Source organism: Homo sapiens, chromosome 4 (assembly GCF_000001405.40).
Source record: "Homo sapiens chromosome 4, GRCh38.p14 Primary Assembly".
In the NCBI taxonomy this organism is placed as follows: Eukaryota; Metazoa; Chordata; class Mammalia; order Primates; family Hominidae; genus Homo; species Homo sapiens.
Window position 1 is genome coordinate 97,563,364 of NC_000004.12, and position 23,120 is coordinate 97,586,483.

Sequence of the window (23,120 nt, forward strand, 5' to 3'; positions counted from 1 at the left end):
TTTTGTTGATCCTTTCAAAAAACCAGCTCCTGGATTCATTACTTTTTTGAAGGGTTTTTTGTGTCTCTATTTCCTTCAGTTCTGCTCTGATTTTAGTTATTTCTTGCCTTCTGCTAGCTTTTGAATGTGTTTGCTTTTGCTTTTCTAGTTCTTTTAATTGTGATGTTAGGTTGTCAATTTTGGATCTTTCCTGCTTTCTCTTGTGGGCATTTAGTGCTATAAATTTCCCTCTACACACTATTTTGAATGAGTCCCAGAGATTCTTGTATGTTGTGTCTTTGTTTTCATTAGTTTCAAAGAACATCTTTATTTCTGCCTTCATTTCGTTATGTACCCAGTAGTCATTCAGGAGCAGGTTGCTCAGTTTCCATGTAGTTGAGTGCTTTTGAGTGAGTTTCTTAATCCTGAGTTCTGGTTTGATTGCACTGTGGTCTGAGAGACAGTTTGTTATAATTTCTGATCTTTTACATTTGCTGAGGAGAGCTTTACTTCTAATGATGTGGTCAATTTTGGAATAGGTGTGGTGCTGAAAAAAATATATATTCTGTTGATTTGTGGTGGAGAGTTCTGTAGATGTCTACTAGGTCTGCTTGGTGCAGAGCTGAGTTCAATTCCTGGATATCCTTTTTAACTTTCTGTCTGTTGATCTGTCTAATGTTGACAGTGGGGTGTTAAAGTCTCCCATTATTATTGTGTGAGAGTCTAAGTCTCATTGTAGGTCACTGAGGACTTGCTTTATGAATGTAGGTGCTCCTGTATTGGGTGCATATATATTTAGGATAGTTAGCTCTTCTTGTTGAATTGATCCCTTTACCATTATGTAATGGCCTTCTTTGTCTCTTTTGATCTTTGTTGGTTTAAAGTCTGTTTTATCAGAGACTAGGATTGCAACCCCTGCCTTTTTTTGTTTTCCACTTGCTTGGTAGATCTTCCTCCATCCTTTCATTTTGAGCCTATGTGTGTCTCTGCATGTGAGATGGGTTTCCTGAATACAGCACACTGATGGGTCTTGACTCTTTATCCAATTTGCCAGTCTGTGTCTTTTAATTGGAGCATTTAGTCCATTTACATTTAAAGTTAATATTGTTATGTGTGTATTTGAGCCTGTCATTATGATGTTAGCTGGTTATTTTGCTCGTTAGTTGATGCAGTTTCTTCCTAGCATCGATGGTCTTTACAATTTGGCATGATTTTGCAGTGACTGGTACTGGTTGTTCCTTTCCATGTTTAGTGCTTCCTTCAGGACCTCTTTTAGGGCAGGCCTGGTGGTGACAAAATCTCTCAGTGTTTGCTTGTCTGTAAAGTATTTTATTTCTCCTTCACTTATGAAGCTTAGTTTGGCTTGATATGAAATTCTGGGTTGAAAATTCTTTTCTTTAAGAATGTTGAATAGTGGCCCTCACTCTCTACTGGCTTGTAGAGTTTCTGCCGAGAGATCCATGGTTAGTCTGATGGGCTTCCCTTTGTGAGTAACCCGACCTTTCTCTCTGGCTGCCGTTAACATTTTTTCCTTCATTTGAACTTTGGTGAATCTGATAATTATGTGTCTTGGAGTTGCTCTTCTCGAGGAGTATCTTTGTGGCGTTCTCTGTATTTCCTGAATCTGAATGTTAGCCTGCCTTGCTAGACTGGGGAAGTTCTCCTGGATAATATCCTGCAGAGTGTTTTCCAACTTAGTTCCATTCTTCCCTTCACTTTCAGGTACACCAATCAGACGTAGATTTGGTCTTTTCACATAGTCCCATATTTCTTGGAGGCTTTGTTCGTTTCTTTTTATTCTTTTTTCTCTAAACTTCCCTTCTCGCTTCATTTCATTCATTTCATCTTCCATCACTGATACCCTTTCTTCCAGTTGATCACATCAGCTCCTGAGGCTTCTGCATTCTTCACGCAGTTCTCGAGCCTTGGCTTTCAGCTCCATCAGCTCCTTTAAGCACTTCTCTGTATTGGTTATTATAGTTATACATTCATCGAAATTTTTTTCAAAGTTTTCAACTTCTTTTCCCTTGGTTTGAATTTCCTCCTGTAGCTCGGAGTAGTTTGATCATCTGAAGCCTTCTTCTCTCAACTCGTCAAAGTCATTCTCTGTCCAGCTTTGTTCCATTGCTGGTGAGGAGCTGCGTTCCTTTGTAGGAGGAAAGGCACTCTGCTTTTTAGAGTTTCCAGTTTTCCTGCTCTGTTTTTTCCCCGTCTTTGTGGTTTTATCTACTTTTGGTCTTTGATGATGTGATGTACAGATGGGTTTTTGGTGTGGATATCCTTTCTGTTTGTTAGTTTTCCTTCTAACAGACAGGATCCTCAGCTGCAGGTCTGTTGGAGTTTGCTAGAGGTCCACTCCAGACCCTGTTTGCCTGGGTACCAGCAGCGGTGGCTGCAGAACAGCGGATTTTCGTGAACTGTGAATGCTGCTGTCTGATCGTTCCTCTGGAAGTTTTGTCTCAGAGGAGTACCCGGCCGTGTGAGGTGTCATTCTGCCGCTACTGGGGGGTGCCTCCCAGTTAGGCTGCTCAGAGGTCAGGGATCAGGGACCCACTTGAGGAGGCAGTCTGCCCATTCTCAGATCTCCAGCTGCATGCTGGGAGAACCACTGCTCTCTTCAAAGCTGTCAGACAGGGACATTTAAGTCTGCGGAGGTTACTGCAGTCTTTTTGTTTGTCTGTGCCCTGACCCCAGAGGTGGAGCCTACAGAGACAGGCAGGCCTCCTTGAGCTGTGGTGGGCTCCACCCAGTTCGAGCTTCCAGGCTGCTTTGTTTACCTAAGCAAGCCTGGGCAATGGCGGGTGCCTCTCCCCCAGCCTCGCTGCCACCTTGCAGTTTGATCTCAGACTGCTGTGCTAGCAATCAGTGATACTCCATGGGCATAGGACCCTCCGAGCCTGGTGCGGGATATAATCTCCTGGTGCACCATTTTTTAAGCCCGTTGGAAAAGCACAGTATTGGGGTGGGAGTGACCTGATTTTCCAGGTGCCGTCTGTTACCCCTTTCTTTGACTAGGAAAGGGAACTCCCTGTCCCCTTGCGCTTCCCGAGTGAGGCAATGCCTCGCCCTGCTTCGGCTAGCACATGGCGTGCTGCACCCACTGTCCTGCGCCCACTGTCTGGCACTCCCTAGTGAGACGAACCCGGTACCTCAGATGGAAATGCAGAAATCACCCGTCTTCTGCGTCGCTCACGCTGGGAGCTGTAGACTGGCGCTGTTCCTATTTGGCCATCTTGGCTTGTATGTTTATTGCGGCACTATTCACAACAGCAAAGACTTGGAACCAACCCAAATGTCCAACAATGATAGACTGGATTAAGAAAATGTGGCACATATACACCATGGAATACTATGCAGCCATAAAAAATGATGAGTTCATGTCCTTTGTAGGGACATGGATGAAATTGGAAATCATCATTCTCAGTAAACTATCACAAGAACAAGAAACCAAACACTGCATATTCTCACTCATAGGTAGGAACTGAACAATGAGAACACATGGACACAGGAAGGGGAACATCACACTCTGGGGACTGTTGTGGGGTGGTGGGAGGGGGGAGGGATAGCTTTAGGAGATATACCTAATGCTAATTGATGAGTTAATGGGCGCAGCACACCAGCATGGTACATGTATACATATGTAACTAACATGCACATTGTGCACATGTACCCTAAAACTTAAAGTATAATAATAATAAAATAAATAAATAAATAAAAGAAAGAAATGGCCCCTAAAATTTCATAACATTAATCTAATCCTTACATAGTTTATCAGGCTGGATTTTACACTATTTTTATTGCCCCATATCCCAAAACAATAGCTTACTTTAAGGTAGTCATAGCTGTAACACACACACACACACACACATACACACACACACACCCTTTAAATTACATATCTGCTAAATTAAAACTGTACTGAGAAACTATTTCTCAACTACCAGACTGGGAAATTTTAAAACCTGAACAGTACATACTGTTGGTGAGGCTGTGTGGAAATATGCACTCCCATATATTGCTGGTGAGAATGCAAATTGGTGCAATCCCGAAATAGAGGAATTTAGCAATATCTAACAATACTATATATATAATTTTATATATATATGTATATATATATATTCCCTTTCTCCCCTCTCCCCATAATCTGACTTTCAGGAGTTTATCCTGAACATATTAGGCCAACAATAAGAAAAGAGATTTGCACAAGGCTATTAATTTCAGCAATATTTACAATTGCAAAATACTGGGATGTCCAAATATAGGAAATTGGTTAAATAAACTATGCTGGATTTACACATTGAAGTTCCATGTGGCTGTAAGAAGAGTAAGGAAGTTTTCTATGAATTGATATGGAGGGTTCTTCATTAACATGTGTAAAACATCAAAGGACAAAAGATATATTGTATATTACATATAGATAAAATAAAGAATAAAAGATATACCGCATGTTGTATATGTGTATAGCATATGTACATTATATGACCTTTGTGTAAGGAAATAGGAGCAAAAGAATATATAGATATGTGCATTTAACAAAAGAAACTGAAGAATGATAAACCAGAAATCAAGAAATTATTTACCTACAAAGAGTAGGAGCCCTATTGAACCAGGTGGAAAAGGTTGGAGTGAATACAGTTTCTCCAAGTATACACTGTTGCATAGTTTTGACTTTTAGAAGCACAGCAGTGTTTTTCATATTAGAAACATAGTGGATGCAAACAGTGACAAATGAACCAACTTTCATTTCAAATGAATAACATAGCCACACTGAGAGGGAAAAACAAAAACATAAACAAAACTAATGCCCAGCGTTTGAACATACTTTAAAAAAAATTAGTCCAAAAGAAAAGAAAACATAAACAAATTTTGAACTCGTCTTAGTAGGTTGTTTTTTCTTTTTCTTTTTCACAGATATATTGGGTATTACCATCCTGAAACTTTTTTTGTGCATGGTACTGTTGATAAAGTGAATAAATGTGTTGTTGATTTCAGGACATGGTTAAGCAAATGAGTAAATGTGTTGATGTTACATCTCACATTGGAAGAATCAAGTTATGAGTATGTAATAGTGGAAGGGAGAAAGACAAGAGCCCTGTAGTGGGTGATCATGTGAATGGAGACAAGTATTGACATATATATGTGTGTGTGTGTCTCTCTCTCTCACACACACATGCACTCTGCTGAGAGGGCTGGAAACAACCATACATACTGCAGTAGCAATGAGCACATTTAGCACCCAGATCTTAATTTCTAAATACTATTACCCACTAAAAAACAAAGGAGCAAAGAGCAATAGATAATAATAATTAAAAAAAACAGGCTACCCAAACAAATGACTGAGTCCAGAACTTGAGCAAGGAAGATACAAAATGATCCCAAACATTCTCTTGTACCAGAAATTACATTCCCAAAAAGTGCTAATAACAAACAAACAACAACAACAAATGATGGGTAGAGGCATGTCAAAAGATCCTAGCAGTTGTTTGAAGGGGTTAGCCCTGGCCAAATGTGAATGAACATTAATTTCTTTTCTTTTCTTTCTTTTGTTTTTTGTTTTGTTTTTTTTTTTGTTTGTTTGTTTTGTTTTGCAGTTGTTACTGGAAAGGGGTAGCAATCCAGACCCCAAAAAAGGGTTCTTGGGCATCGTGCAAGAAAGACTTTGAGGCAAGTCCATAAAGTGAAAGCAAGTTTATTAAGTAAACGAATAAAAGAATGGCTATTCCATAGGCAGAGCAGAGACATGGGCTGCTCAACTGAGTATACTTGTAGTTATTTCTTGATTATATGCTAAACAATTGGTGGATTACTCATGAGTTTTCTGGGAAAGGAGTGGGCAATTCCTGGAACTGAAGTTTTCTCCCCTTTTAAGACCACATAGGTAACTTCTGGACATTGCCAGGGCGTTTGTAAACTGTCATGGTGCTCCTGGGAGTGTGTTTTAGCATACCAATGCATTATAATTAGTGTACTATGAGCAGTGAGGACAATAAGACGTCACTTTTGTCACCATCTTGGTTTTGGCCAGCTTCTTTGCTGCAATCAATTTGATCAGCAACGTCTTTATGACCTGTACTTTGTGCTGACCTCCTATCTTAACCTGTGACTAAGAATGCCTAACCTCCTGGAAATGCAGCCCAGGTGTCAGCCTTAACCCAGCCCCTATTCAAGATGGAATCGCCTCGATTCAAAGGCCTCTGACACAGTGATGGATTAGAATCAACTGAATATAACAGAAATCCATTAGTTCATACTGATAATAAATTGATAGTAGATTAACAAGTAAAGTAGAAGGGAGGGCTCTTCTTTATAGTAAATAGCTAATAATATAATTGAAATTAGTGGCAGGGTTGGAAAAGATTTTATTTGATAACCATTATATTAAGGATTGGAGTGGATAAAAATCATCAATTGATGCTAAATATAGGTAAGGAAAAGTTAATGAGGAACAGAATATTTACACAGTCTCAAAGTATCTCCCTATAAATTATTAATTATAAAAGGAAATGATATCTATACAGTGGAGAAAATGAGCAAAATTTTAACCAAATGATGAAAATTAATCTCATCAAAAAGAGACAAATAGTAATTATGTGCCTCCATATGTAATATATCCTGAAAAGTACATACATTACTTATATATTACTCCAACAAAAAGTACATAATCTGATGCTAATCATAAGGAAATACCAGAAAAACCCAAATTGAGAAACATTTCTCAATTTTTTAAGGATTGTCACTGTCATGAAAGACAAAGCCTCTTTCAGATTAAAGAAAACTAAAGATACATGAAAACTAAATGCAGTATAAGATCCTGGATTGAATATTGTATTTCCCAAAAATGCTTCAGATAACATTATTGTGATAATGGACAAAATTAAAGTGTGAATTATTAATTACCTAAAGCTATTCTATCAGTGTTACCTTTTCTAAATTTGATAGCTAAACTCGGTTTTATAATACATATATTGTTATTCTTTGGAAATGCACACTAAAATTTCAAGGCATTGGGGTGGCATGATGTATACAACTATGGGAAGTCAGGATTTTCTTCCCCAAAATATAAATGATTGTTGAGCTGAAGACAACTAACAAGAAGACACAGGAAATCTCCTTGCCCGTCCTCAATTTGCCTAAAAGCAGGCCAAAGATAAAAGATACCACTCTCTACTCTAGCTATCCTGGCCCACTCTAGGTATTCTAGATTTGCAAAAACAAAAGTTTTTTTTTTTTTCCTGCCCCCACTCCCACTGCTACCAGGGGGAACAAAGGTTAACCACTGAAGACAATTTTGGAGTCTTATGGAAATGGAGATGGTACAGAGGAATCTACATTAACAAGGTTTACTCACTAACCTTTATCTACCACTTATTAGCCTTCCCCCAAGTTGCTGCCTCAACAGACTCAAAGGTTTTTTTCCTTTGATTTCTCACTTCTCTAAAAATTTGTTATTTTTTATTGAAGATGCTATGTAAACTGGAATCCAAAGCCATCTGAGAACTACTCATTCCTTGGGTGTCTTCCACATATCTGTGAAATATACGCATTCATAAACTTCTGTTTGTCTTTTTTGTGTTAATCAGTCTTTCGTTACAGGGGTTCATTTCAGTCCTATGGGGTTTATTTTTCCCCTGCAGAACTTAATCTCAACTGGTTCCAAAAACTTTCTACTTTTGTTGCCATCTTTCTGTAAAATATTTAAAAATACATGGTTAAAACATTTAATATAATGCTAAAGTTGAACTTCTTGGATGGTATAGTATTTAAATGTAATTAAAATAATTTTAATTATTTTTAAATTTTTATTTCCCCAAATATAAGTATTAATTATTAAAAGTTTGACATTATAGCACAGGTAAAATAATTAGTCTTGTTACTGTAAATATGTGAAATTCAATAGATGATAGCCTTCGACTGAAACTGGTAGAAGGACTAGTATCCATAAACCAAAAATAAAGTTCTAAGGCTCCCCAACCATCTGAATGCAGCACCTGACAGCCAGGGCTCTTAAAATTTAACCCAAGAGACTGTTTCAGGCCATGAAGGGAAGTGGAGGTCGAACGTGCCTCATTATACCTCTACGGCACTAACATCAACACAGACTTTAAATCTGATAAGGAACATTTTACAACCTATTCTCTCTGAAGCCTGCCAGCTAAAAGTTTCATCTACCTGGTAAAGCTTTGCTCTCCACCACCTCTTATAGCAACCCAGACATTCCCTTCTATTGATCCCAGGTCTTTGGATAAACTCAACCAATTGTCAACCAGAAAACATTTAAATTTACCTGTAGCCTGGAAGTCCTTGTCTTGAGTTGTCCCACCTTTCTGGACCAAACCAATGTATTTCTTAAATGTATTTGATAGATGTATCATGCCTCCCTAAAATGTATCAAACCAAGCTGCGCCCCGACCACCTTGGACACAAGTTCTCAGGACCTCCTGAGGGTTGTGTCATGGGCCATGGTCATTCATATTTGGCTCACAATAAATCTCTTCAAATATTTTAGTTTGACTCTTTTCGTTGACATATCTTTTGGCTTTTTCTGCAAGTATATGTATGACATTGTCACCAAGCTTATTACTTGATTAGTAACTATCCAAGGTATATATCTATGTTCTTCTTAACTCCTGGACTTCACCATTTGCTACACAATGGTGTGGCAAATTAAGTGAAATAATCGCTCAAAATGAAGTTTTGTACACTGCTTGAATACAATGCTTTCTGAACATTTTTAAGGTTCTCATCAGACTATTGGTCTTAACTATGTATTTTATTTCTAATACTTTTGCATGCACTTGCTTGTTTACACAATCACTTGTCTGCATTTCAGTTTTCATTTGATTCATTTTTTCAGTATGACCATGGAGTGAAATGGCAGGAGGATCTGTGGACTGTGTATCATGTAAGAAATACCTGTACTCTCAAGATACAGCCATTCAGTTACTTCAGCAGTTTCCAACAAACTATTTTCTCTGTTAGTAACCACTGCTTATTACTCATTCCTGTCATCATAGATTTGTTAAGATTTTCTCTTTCTTTCAAGTAACTTTTTTACATGCAGCAGCTATTATATCTTGGTTGAAGATCTTGTATAAGTTGAACATCTCATATAAGAACAGTTTTTGAAATCTCTAAAGTCATGACAAAATTTCAAAATATAATGCACATTCTAAATGACATCTTGTATGTTTATTTATATTTGAAAATGAATCTTTGGTTATTAACATAAGGGAAATATCATGCCTTATTTATGCAAATGATAGTGTGCTTTTGTAAACCCACATGATCCCATGACTGCTACTCACAGGTAAGTTCAAGGATGTCGGAAATAACTTGCAATCAGCATTTTCCCATTCTATCCTCCAAACTGTGAGACCTGAAGTTGAAGGTGAATAGTACATTTAGCACTGAACACTAAAACAGAATCCCAATTTCCATTCATTTCTGGTTTATATGGATGTCAAGGTTTTGTGAAACATACTTTAAATAGGAGAAATAAGAAAACATGGTTAGTATTAGAGATGATAATTTTTTAATAAATTTTACCTACTATTATTCAAATTCATATGTAAATGAATGCAAAATGAATTCAATAGGCGTTTAACTAGTTTTATCCCATGTAGAGTTAGGTATTTTATCTTTAACACTAGAAAAATCCTCAGGGTAATTTGTAGTTGTTAAGACAGAAGCCTAGTTTGTTATCGTCCCTCTGCAGTGGCTTAATAAAAATGCCTCAGACATTTTCTGAGCCTAAATACGATATGCATTTTCATTCTTCTATATGGGTAATTTTTAATTTTCTTCTTTACCTCAAGTTTCTGAATTTATTATTTTTCTGTAATTCTTCCTAATTTCTATAGCAAACTTTTTATAATTGGAAAATAACTATACACGTTATATAAAACTTACTTTGATAAAATGAAAATTGTTATATGTATTATAAAATAAAAACTATAGCTAATATAAGGTTTTAAATAAGCTCTACAACTCAATAGCATATTTATTCACCCAAACCGCACAAGTAACAGACCAATTCTGGCAATTCTGTCAGATGCCTAAAGTCAAATAAAACGAGATAGCTTTAAATCACCATGTGTGAAATCTGAAGAGAAAAGAAGGAAACATTCAGTGTTAGCTATAAAGGCTGCATGGTAGAAACAAGGATTTATTATATATTTATTATTAACATAGTAATCATTTTAAATTATAATATAAAAAATGGAAATATAAACAAATTTTAAAGTTTTGAACTTTAATTGAAATTGTCTGCACTCTTCTATGGGGAGAAAAAGACAATTTAAAACAATGATATTTGAAACATAAATGAATAAATAAATTTTAAAATGTCCTCAATATCTACATATCCACATATATTAATTATCATTTTCTTCATCTATAGGAAGCATGGCTTAGTGGAAATTATAAAGCATTATGAGCTAATGTGGCAGGCCAGGTCTCACTAACAGCTGAAATGGCAGGCCTCTGTGACAAATATGTCAGCACTGACTGAGTGGTTAAGTTAAATATTAAAAGCTGATAGAGCCAGTGCCCTTATACAAAGCCTGGAATGTAACAAAAGCCCACCAAGAGTTTTGCCTAGGCTTTTCCTGGGCCTTGAAGCATGACAAGATAATGAAGGAATTGTTAACAGGACCCCTCTAGGATTCAACAAGTTTTCTTACGGATCTGAAGAATCTTCATTTGCCATGAAGGTAACACATTTACTAATTCCAGGGATTAGGGCATGGATAGTTTTGAGGGGACTTTATTCTACCTATCACAGAGTACTTCATGTGACTGCAGTTGAGGAACATAATTATTAATCTCTAAGAAATAATAATTATGTGTTTAAATAAACTCGTGAAACCCTCTGTTAAAAAAAAGTCACTTCTAGAGAGCTGAAGTATACAACTATTGTAGAAGGGAAAATATTTCTTCCTTCACTCATTGCAAGGTTCATGGCTGACATCCCTAAAATAAAAGACAGATTGACAAGAGGAAAACATACAAATTTATATAAGTTTTATGTGACACAGGAACCTTCAGAAATGAAGATAGAAAAGACCCAGAGAAAACAATTTATCTTTATAGACAGTTGTAAAAAAAAAAAGTATGATTGGCAGACAAAAGAGTATGACTTAATGATAATAAACTGAGGGGAACTCAGCAAGGCTTGCTTGTTCAGATTCTTTTTGGCATCTCTGTGTCAAACTCCATCTCTCTGGGTTTAGGACAGACACTTGTCACATGAAGGCCTTTAGGAGAAGAGAGGGATTACATCAGAGAGTAACCGTCCCAGGTTTTATGGTTTGTTTCAGGGTGAAAGGGGCTGGTAGAATTCTGGTTTTCATGATCCTTTTCAGCAAAAAAGTGGTGGGAGGAGGTCAGAAAGACCTTTCTGCTTCTGTGGATTTTTAACTTTCTTTCGGGTTAAATGATTAAGTATGCTAAGATGCCATATTTTGGGATAGTGTTTTTTGCATCCCACTTCATCACTATTTTAAGAACTCTAAAAAGTTTCCAATGTATATGTAAAAAATTTTATTTAATAGTTAATCTTCAAAGAAAAAAGAAGGTCCAAATAAGGACAATCAGAAATGACTAAGGTGAAATTACAAAAAAATCACACGGAAATACAAAAGATCCTTAGAGACTACTATGAATGTTTCTATGAATACAAACTAGACAATTCAGAAAAAAAAATTAATTTTTGGAAACACACAAGCTCCCCAGATTGAATCACGAAGAAATCAAAATGCTGAACAGACTGCTAATGAGTTCCAAAATTGAATCAGTGATAAAAAAAAACCTAACAATGAATAAAAGCCCTGGACCAGATAGACTCAGAACCCAATTCTCCCAGACATACAAAGAAGAACTGGTACCAATTCTTCTGAAACCATTCTGAAAAAATCAAGGAGGAATGATTCCTCCCCAACTCATTCTACAAAGTCAGCATCATTCTGATCCCAAAACCTGGTAGAGACACAATGAAAAAAGAAAACAACAGGCCAATATCTAAATCCTCAACAAAATACTAGCAAACCAAATCCAGCAGCACATCAAAAAGTTAATTCACCAAAGTCGAGTAGGCTTTATTCCTAAAATTTAAGGTTGGTCCGACATATACAAGTCAATAAATGTGATTCACCACACAAACAAAATTAAAAACAAAAACCACATGATCATCTCAATAGATGCAGAAAAAGCTTTTGATAAAAATCTAACATATTTTCATGATAAAAACCCACAACAAATGGGACATCAAAGGAACACATAATAAGAGCCATCTATGACAAACTCACAGCCAACAACATAGTAAACATGCAAAAGCTGAAAGCATTGCCCTTAAGAACTAAAACAAGAAAAGGATACCCACTCTCACCACTCTTATTTGCCATAGTACTAGAAGTCCTAGCCAGAGCAATCAGGCAAGACAAATAAATAAAAGGCATTTAAACAGGAAAAGAAGATGTCAAATTATCTCTTTTCACTGACAATATGATTCTATACCTCAAATAGCCTAATGGCTCTGCCAAAGAGCCCCTAGAACTGATGAATAACTTCAGTAAAGTACTAGCACACAAAATCAATATATAAAAATCTAGCATTTTTGTATAGCAACAATGTTTAAGCTGAGAGTCAAATAGAGAATGCAATCCCATTTACCATAGCCACATGCATAAAAAAATCTAGAAATATATCTAACCAAGGAGGTGAAAGATCTCTATAAGGAGAACTACAAAACACTGCTGAAAGTAATCATAGATGATATAAACAAATGGAAAAACAATCCATGCTCATGAATAGGCAGAATCAATATTGGTAAAATGGCCATGCTGCCCAAAGCAATTTACAGATTCAATGATATTGCTATCAAACTACCAAGGTCATTTTTCACGGAATTAGAAAAAAACTATACTAATATATATGGAATGAAAAAAAAAAAAAGCCCCAATAGCCAGAGCAGTCCTAACAAAACAGAACAAAGTTAGAGGCATCACATTACCTGACTACAAGCCATACTACGAGGCTATGGTAACCAAAACAGCATGCAACTGGCACCAAAACAGGCACACAGACTTATGGAACAGAATAGAGAACCCAGAAATAAAGCCACACACTTAGACAAAGTTGACAAAAATAAGCAATGGGGAAAGGACTCCCTTTTCAATACATGGTGCTAGGATAACTTGCTAGCCATATGCAGAAGAATGAAATCGACCTCTACATATCATCTAAAGAAATTAACTCAAGATAGATTAAAGACTTAAATTAAAGACCTAAAACTATAAAAAATCCTAGAAGAAAACTTAGAAAATACCCTTCTGGACACTGGCTTTGACAAAGAATTTATCATTAAGTCCTCCAAAGCAACTGCAACAAAAATGATAATTGGCAAGTGGTACCTCATTAAATTAAAGAGATTCTGCACAGTAAAACAGACTATCAACATAGAAAATATACAACCTACAGAACAAGAGAAAACATTCACAAATGAGGCATCTCACAGAGGTCTAGTGTCCAAAATCTATAAAAAACTTAAACAATTGAACAAGTAAAAAGCAAATAGCCTCATTAAAAACTGGGCAAAGGGCATGAACAGAAACTTCTCAAAAGAAGATCTACCAATAAACATATGAAAAATGCTCATCATCACTAATCATCAGAGAAATGCAGATTGAAACCACAATGATATGCCATCTTACACCAGTCAGAATGGCTATTACTAAAAAGTAAAAAAATAACAGATGTTAGTAACGCTGAGGAGAAAAGGGAACACTCATACACTGTTGATGGTAATGTAAATTTGTTCAGCCACTGTGGAAAGTGGTTTGGCAATTTCTCAAAGAACTAATATTAGAACTGCCATTCAACCTAGCAGTCCCATTACTGGGTATACAGCCAAAGGAAAAGAAATAATTCTATGAAAAGGACACATGCTCTTTTATGTTCATTGCAATACTATTCACAATAGCAATGTCATGGAATCAACCTAGGTATCCATACGTGGAGGACTGGACAAATAAAATGTGTTACATATACACTATGGAACACCAACAGCCATAAAAAAAAATCACACTTTTTGCAGCAACATGGATGCAGCTGGAGGCCAATATCCTAAATGAATTAACCTAGAAACAGAAAAACAAATACCGCCTGTTCTCAGTTGTGGGAGCTAAACATTGGGTACACATGGACTTAAACATGGGAACAACAGACACTGGGACTATTAGAGAGGGGAGTGAGGGAGGTGGTAAGGACTGAAAAACTACCTATTGGGTATTATGCTCAGTACATGGGTGACAGGATCAATCATACCCCAAACCTCAGCCTCATACCATATGTCATATAACAAACCTGCACATGTATTCCTGAATCTAAAACAAACATATAAAAATAAATAGTTCATCTTTTTCTTTCTTTTCACATCTATTAACCAGGACAGATTTCTCTTAACACTAATTATAAAGTACTTAACTAAACTATTTTAATTGTTAATTGTTAATTTCAACAATAACTGTCAGTAATGTATACAATACAGTTAATAATGATCATGGATGTTCAAAAATTATAATCCAAAATATACTAAAGGTCCTCAAAAAATAAAGTTATTATCTTTGCAGACATATATCCATTTTCAGAAATTTATAGAATTACACACTGGCAAGAAGATATTACGAATATAACACGCCTCCTGTTAGATTTAATTAACCTCTCAGTTTACCAAAGGAAAATAATTTATCCTTTCTTTCTTTCTTTTTTTTTTTTTTTTTTGAGATGGAGTCTCTTATGCTGTCACCCAGACTGGAGTGCAGTGCTGTGATCAAGGCTCACTGCAACATCCACCTCCCAGGCTCAAGCGATTGTCCCACCTCAACCTCCCGAGTAGCTGGGACCACAGATGTGTGCCACCACTCCCAGCTAAATTTGTGTATTTTTGGTAAATATGGGGTTTCTAGTGAGTGAAACTAGAGTTTTACTGTTTTCTATGACCAAATTATCTGGCCTAAAGAGGAGGTCATGGGAAGTTTCAATATGTAGCCAACTGAGACAGAAGTAGTGGGTAGCCTGAGGATCCAATACTTCAATTGCATCTGAAGAAGGGAGCAGTGTTATGGAACTGAGCCCTTAATCCATGGAATCTAAAGCTAACTCCAGGTAGATAACGTCAGAATTGAACTGAGTTGTAGGACACCCAGTTGATGTCTGCATAGAATTGGAGACTTACTTGGTGTGAAAACAAACCCACACTTTTTTTTTTTTTTTGCCAGAATTATTGGCATGAACATAGCAGAGAGAAAAACCAAGAGTTTTGGTTTGTTGAGTTTTTTCCCCTTTATCCACATAATAGCCAATTTCCCTGCAATTTTCAACAATGGTTTAAACCAAAAAGAAAGGGTTCCAGTAAATATTAACTAAATCAGAAGTTCTAATTGTGAGAGTAGTTCTTCTTCTTACAGCAATCTAAAATTGATCTTACCTATATTAAGCACCTCGTTACTTAGGTATTGGGTTCAAAGCTATGGCATAGTCAGGCCTCCACTGGCTAGGAACTGAAAATTTAAAAATGTCTGGGAGCAGAATTAATTAAGATTTAAGAATTTTAAATTTTCCTACTCATTTAGCATCAAACGAACAATATCAGTGCCATCTAAAAAATAAATCACTCATCTGTTTTCAGCTAAGAACTCAAGTTTAAGTGAGAAAAGAAGAAAATATCTACAATAATCAATCTTTAAATTGCAAGTGACTTTTAGACAAAACACCTACTTCTGCAAAGAACTTGCATGAATTTTTAGTAAGTTGATAATAATAATCATTAGTTATGGCTATTAAATGATATCTAAGTGTGTTCAATGTTGCTTTCCTATTAGTAGAAAAGTACATATTGAGATACACAGGAGCTTTATAGTATATATGTGAATACACATACATACACACCCTGAATATACAAAACATTATCTATGGGAGTTAAAATATTAACTATTTTGACTAATTATCCTATTCAGGAAAGCATCTTAAAAAATTTTCTAAGCATCTTAGAAAAAATTTAATCTCAAAATTTGAAATATATCTAAATAGGAGTTTTGGAGTGAATAAAATACTTATCTTGTTTGAAAAATTTTCTGCTAAATTTATTACTTAATTTTACAAGGTCCATTTATATTTAAACTCCATTTTAAAATAATCACAAAGTTAAGAATGGATTAAAATTAAATATTGCTGGTGAAACTTCAAAACTCTGGCCCTTCATCTTCTAAATTGGAACTTCTGCCACCTTTACAAAAGAAACAAACTTTTAATTCATCTATTTACTTGCATAGATCTCCCTTTGGCTGTGTTTTAAAGTGTACCACACTAAGGTGATCTACATTCATTAAGTTCATGCTCTGGTCTCCAATAATGGAGCTTGATTTTCTCTCATTTAATCAGATTTATAAAATTTTGCACACTAATTGAGGTAAACTGTGCAATTAAAAAACCAATTATATTTTACAATTGACCAAATCTTTTATTGAAACCACTAATCCCATAAGTTGTAGACTTATACATATAGCCATCAAAATTAAGTGTTATATATCAACACTTTATTTATCTATCACTAATTATAAATGCCCAATCTAACTGATAGAAAATAGAAATAATGAAAGAAAGCTTGGATTGACAGCTTACTCATGATCTTCATCACTCTGGTAAATATATTAACTTTTTCAGTGGGTATTTAATGCACTGGTGTGTAATAAACTATACTAATTAACCGAAGTCAAAATAATACCATTCCAAATAGCCAATTATTACACTATAAGAATTAGGTAGCTCTTCAGCAGCAGTCAAAATGAAGACACTCATTGTCCGTATTTATTCTGCAATAAAGTCATAAGACAGCGTTAACTCACTCATTTTAGAAGATACCTTATCAGAATCACCAGGTGACATACACATATAATTTATATAATACAAGTTATAATGATTATATGATATAATAATATTATCACTGCTATAGAACAAGACATAAAGATTATCTGACAGAATATTACTTAGAATAAATTTTGTACACATATCTCTAAAGGAAATTTAAAGATTCTCCTACTTATTTACTTGATTGTTTAAGAAGGATCAATCATGAATGGTTTCCTACATAGATTATTAGAAGCCATGGTAAACATTTCACCCTCTCTGTCTCTCTGTCTCTGTCTCTCTGTCTCTGTCTCTCTCCCTCTCACACACACACACACAAAGAGAATTATTTAAATTCCTCAAAGAAATACTATTTTAATTACTAATCAAGAAAACTTCCAGCCTCCAAATAACGACAAACTGCTTTAAAGAAAAAGGAAAGTTTATGACTATAATCCTACTCTATCCTAGCTAAATATTTAAGTGCAAGACAACCACCATTTGATGTGGGTTGGGTCAGTTAACAAAATACTTTATTCTCACTAATTTTTCAGGTATGTTGATGAAGAGTCTGATTCATTATGTGAAATATAATTAAATTTTCATGGAGATACAGGTATTTCAAATAAACATCAAGGCTCATTTTAAAGCCTGCTTTGTAAAAAATATGCGTTCCTTTGCATTTTCCTATGAGTAAATTCAGGGTTTTTTAATCAGAAAAAATACAATTATAAATTTTGATTAAAAGTTAAGGTTTTTCATTTATTTACTTATATTTATTTGGATATGATTGTAATGATGGTTAATTTTTCACTTTTACACTCTAGAGCTGTGGTGTCTAATAGAGTAGCCACTAGCCATTTGTGGCTATTTCCATTTCAATGAATTAATATTAAAATAAATTACAAATTCATTTCTTTGGTCACACTAAACACACTTTAGTTGCTCAACTGACAGGTAATAAGAAATATTTCCATTCTCTCAGAAAGTTTTTTTGAGCAATGCCACTCCAGAAGCACCACAAAGAGTGAAAGGATTACAAGCTTGGGCAGTTAGCACTTTTAAGTAACATAACCAAGATTCAAACCCAGGCATATCTCTGGAGTCTCTGCTTTTACCCATTAGCCAACTAGTTTTAGGAAAATTTATAACACTTACTAAAAATTATATTTGGCCTAACTCTGTAGCTACGGAGAACAATGCAGAAATCATTTAAAAGCAGATTAGGCAGTGTAAGTTTAGATTAATTTATACTTAACTAATAATGATGATAGTTACATGTAAGTCTGGACTCAGCCTACTTTCAAAAATAATTTGGAACTATTAATTACACTATAAAGTCTAAATATCTAGCATCTTATTAGAACATTTATCATTTAACTCATCAATTAAATTTCACCTTGCCGTTCAGCCAGGAGAAAAATGATTATTGTAATATTATGGTCAAACACAAATGGGACAGGAGAACTGTATGCTCTGAAACCAGATCCTTGAAATTCTTTTCAAAATAGCTATAACGTGCTTAGAAAATATTCAGAAAATGAGATTATTTTATAAAACATCTGTCAAAGGATCTAAAGTTCCAAAGAATTATAATTGTATTTTGGCTGATCTGATCTGAAAGCTTCACATTATCCTTCCAGCCTGGCCATAAATTCCTGTTTCCTACATCTAGTAGCTCTAGGAATCTTTCCAGTGTCCACAATGGGAAAAAAATTATTCCACTTATTCTGTTCCGAGTTTATAATTATTTCTTATTTGGTCTTATTATTTTATAACTATTTTAAATAGAAATTTAACCTTAAAATAATTTTCTTTTTGCCAAGCATCTGCAGCTACATTCAACACTGGCTCCTGGAACCACCCCCTCTGCCCCAACCCCATCTCCTACTTCTGCTCTATGGTTCCCTCTCATTATGCAAGAAGTCAGACATTGACTTTAGAACCAATACTTTCTGCAAATGTTTTCTAAACAACAAACTGCCAATATCTATATAATGTGCATACACCTAATCAGTGTATTTGTCAAATACGCGTTGTTGGTTGAATCAGTTAGTGGATTAGAAAATCAATTCAGTGATAAGCTTGAAAAAATAGTAAACATCATGATGCAATATAAACAACACTTTTTTGGTAAAAATGTCATGGCAAGCAATAGTGAATGAAGACAAAAGTGAGTCAATTCAGTAATAAGTAGAAGATATTATCTTTATTATAATAAAAATTTGTTTGCCTATATATTCTAATGTTTCTCTTTCATCTGCTAATCATACTCATAATTTTATCTTTCTGATTATGTTTTTGTCAACCATCAATAAATCTATTTCTCTGACAAATATGAAATATGATTTCTCAGAAAGAGTATTTTTGAGAAATGGGAAAGAAAAAGCCTAAATCAGAACACAGTCCACATAACTGAGCAAAAGATATAGGCTAGAATGATAAGTAAATTTGTGGCACAATTATAAGTTCAACTGCTGTATTTACTGAATGCAAACAAATGCCAGTAGTAATCCTAAAAGCTATCAAAATATAAATTTTAGGTTAACTGACTCACTAGCAAGCTCTATATTATTTACACTGCAGAGTGGAGATAAATGAGGTCAGTGCTATGTGAAATGCTATCATAAGCTGGGAGGAAAAAAGGTCTGCAAACTGCCAAATATTACCAAGAATGTGACAATTTCCTGATCTTTTTGAACACTGTAGTTTGCTTATCGGTAAAACATTCTGGGAAATGTATTTTTTTGCAGAAACATAAAATTCTTGACATTACTGATGAAAATGCCTTTACATTATTACTGTGATTCTACTTGTTAAGTCTCATCATTTGTCAACTTGTAAGCAAATGTAGATTTGATGATTTCAGCTGTCATGGTTTCTTGCCAAGACTGCAAACAGACTTATAGGAAATTTCTAACCACTAGAAGAAGAGATAAGTGTCCAGAACACTAATTTTCACAATAGCCAGCTACCAGCTCCACCCCATTATCAACTACAAAAATTTCTAAAGTAGCAATGGAAGAGGTGTTTTTAGGATCCCTCAGAACAAATTAAAAGAATAGCTACTGTACACTGTCAGTTAACTAGCAGGCCCTTTACAATGCTACACTAAAGTAGAGAACTAGTCTCATCATGATGCAGCCATTAACAGAAATTGAATTAACAGAACCTTTAAAAATTAGCAGCATTGAGCCTTCACTTTACAAATTTGGAAAATATATTTGCTTAACCAAGAGTTCCTGCTATTTTCACATGAACTGACAGAAAAACATCCTAGTGTAATCACTGCTTCTCATAGTCAACTTAGAGTGTTATTATTCCCAGTGCAATGGGCCATTTAGGACTATTTGGTTGGAGAAAAAGACAGGAAACACTGTCCAGGGACTCAAGTAATGCATACAAACTCACATAAACTTAAGGTAAAGAGATGTAAAAAGATATTCCATGCAATGGAAACCAAAGGTGAGCAGGTATAGCTATTTTTATATCAGATTAAACAGACATTAAAGCAACAATGTTAAAAAAGACACAGAGAAACATCATACAATGATAAAAGAATCAGTCCAACAGGAAAATATCATAATCCTAAATATATATGCACCTAACATGGGAGCTCCCAAATTTATAAAACAATTATTACTAGACATTAGAAATGAGATACACAGCAAGACAATAGTAGTGGGGGGCTTCAGCACTCCACTGACAGCACTAGATATACAGGTTATCAAGATAGAGTGTCAACAAAGAAACAATGGACTTAAACTATACCCTAGAACAAATGGACTCAACTGGTATTTACAGAACATTCTACCCAACAACTGCAGAATGCTCATTATTTTCATTAGCATATGGAACATTCCCCAAGATACACCACATGATAGACCACAAAACAAGTCTCAATAAATTTAAGAAAATCAAAATTATATTGACTACCCTCTCAGAACGCAGTGTAATAAAACTGGTCATTAACTCCAAAAGAAACCCTCAAAATTATACAAATACATGGAAATTAAATAATCTGCTCCTGAAGGATCTTTGCATCAACAATGAAATCAAGATGGAAATCTAAAAATTCTTAGAACTGAATGATAATAGTGACAAAACTTATCAAAACCTCTGGGATACAGCAAAAGTGGTGTAAAGAGGAAAGTTCATAGCATTAAATACCTACATCAAAAAGTCTGAGAGAGCAGAAACAGACAATCTAAGGTCACACCTCAAGGAAACAGAGAAACAAGAACACACCAAATCCAAACCCAGCAAAAGAAAAGAAATAACAAAGATCAGAGCAGAACTAAATGAAATTGAAGCAAAATAATACAAAAGATAAATGAAACAAAAAGCTGATTCTTTGAAAAGATAAACAAAAATGATAGACCATTAGCAGGATTACTCAAGAAAACAGAGAAGATCCAAATAAGCTCAATTAGAAATGAAACAGGAGATATTACACCAATACAGCAGAAATACAAAAGATCATTCAAGGCTACTATGAAGACCTCAAGTAAATCTAGAGGAGATGGAAAAAATCCTCCAAATATACAACCCTCCTAGATTAAATCAGGAAAAAAATAGAAACTCTGAACAGACCAATAACAGGTAGCAAGATTAAAATAGTAATAACAAAAATTGCCAACAAAAAAAGTCCAGAACCAGATGGATTCACAGCTGAATTCTTTCAGGCACTCAGAGAATAATTGGTACCAATCTTACTGAAACTATTCCAAAATATAAAGAAAGGAGGAATCCTCTGAAAATGATTCCATGAAGCCAGTATTCCCCTAATACTAAAACCAGGAAAGGACATAAAAGTCCCCCTAATACTAAAACCAGGAAAGGACATAAAATATTCTCAAAAAAAAAAAAAAAAAAAAAAACAAAACTACAAGTTAACATCCAACAGCATTATCAAAAAGATAATCCACCATGATCCAGTAGATTTCTACCAGGGATGCAGGGATGGTTTAACATATGCAAGTCAATAAATGTGATACATCACATGAACAGAATTAAAAACAAAAATCATAAATGCAGGATATCCAGTGAACACCATCAATGGGATCAATCAAGAACCTTATCAACATTAAGCAACCAGGAAAAAGTTCTCCTTCACTGCCAGATCCAAAACTTCCCTCATCCAGTGAGAAACACCAAGGTGGCTGAGGTAGCATTAGCAAGAAAAATCTAACCACAACAAGAAGCCCAACACAGAAGCCTCTTTGATCCTGTGGGTCTAACACTCCCCTCCCTTGCCCATCTAAAAAAAACTAATGTGGCCAAAGTGTATTGGTAGAGAGAATCTTGTCACAGCAAGAACCCAGACTGGAAAGTTTTCTAGATCTTTCAGACAGCTAACTGTGCCACAGCAAGGGAGCCTCACTGTTTTCATATGTTTTAGGTTCCCCTATCACTCTGGGAGAATGCTCATGGCCTAGTCCAGGAATCAGCTCCTATCTTCTCATTTAGAAACAGAAGGCACAAGTAGGATATCCAGTGATACCAGATAAACCAAAAAGCTTAATGTAACACTGCAAAGCATCTAAAAATTAAACTGTTATTAGAGCCTTAACCCTCAAAAACAGATCAGGTACTGTGCGCTGAACCTAAACAGAGTGACTGTCTGCTAAAATAAAAAAAAATTTAAATAAAACCCAGACAAAATAGAAAAAAATAGATGAAATGTCTAAGATATAATTAAAAATCGCCCATCATACCAAAAACCAAGATGTTCAAAACCATAAAGAGAAAAGACTGATGCCAAACTGAGAAGAATTAGATGTCACAATTATCTGTAAGGATTTTAAGAGACCCATCATAAAATGATTCAACAATCAATTGTAAATTCTCTTACAACAAATAAAAAATATAAAATTTCAGCAAATAAATTATTTAAAAGAAACAAATGGAAATTATAGAACCCAAAAATTCAGTAATAGAAAACTCCCTGGATGGACACAATAATAGAGTGAGATAACAGACAATACAATCAGTGAAACTGAGGACAGACCAATACAATTCATCTAACACTAAGCAATAAGAAAAATATACTGAAAAAAGAACAAAGTCTAAGGGACCCAAGAGACTATATAATAATAACCGATATTTATATCATCTAAGTCCTGGAAGGAAAAGAGAAAGACAATAAGGTTAAAAGTATATTCAAATAATTAATGGCTTAAAACTTCCAAAATTTGATGGAAGACACATAATTACATATTCAAAGAGCTGAGTAAACT

The 23,120-nt window shown here is 35.0% G+C and overlaps 1 protein-coding gene across 7 annotated transcripts in view; it reads right to left on the minus strand.

Annotated features, from left to right (window-relative positions):
* STPG2 (sperm tail PG-rich repeat containing 2) overlaps positions 1-23,120 on the minus strand; it is a 702,228-nt gene that overhangs the window by 122,115 nt on the left and 556,993 nt on the right. For 2 of the 7 annotated variants that reach the window (XM_047450119.1, XM_047450120.1), the window contains one exon: positions 9,143-9,355. The exons of the other annotated variants lie outside the window; for them this stretch is intronic. In XM_047450119.1, coding sequence (XP_047306075.1) covers positions 9,335-9,355 — 21 coding nt within the window. In that variant the 3' untranslated portion in view covers positions 9,143-9,334. Of the gene's footprint in view, positions 1-9,142; positions 9,356-23,120 lie in introns of those variants that run through there. 7 annotated transcript variants of the gene reach the window in all.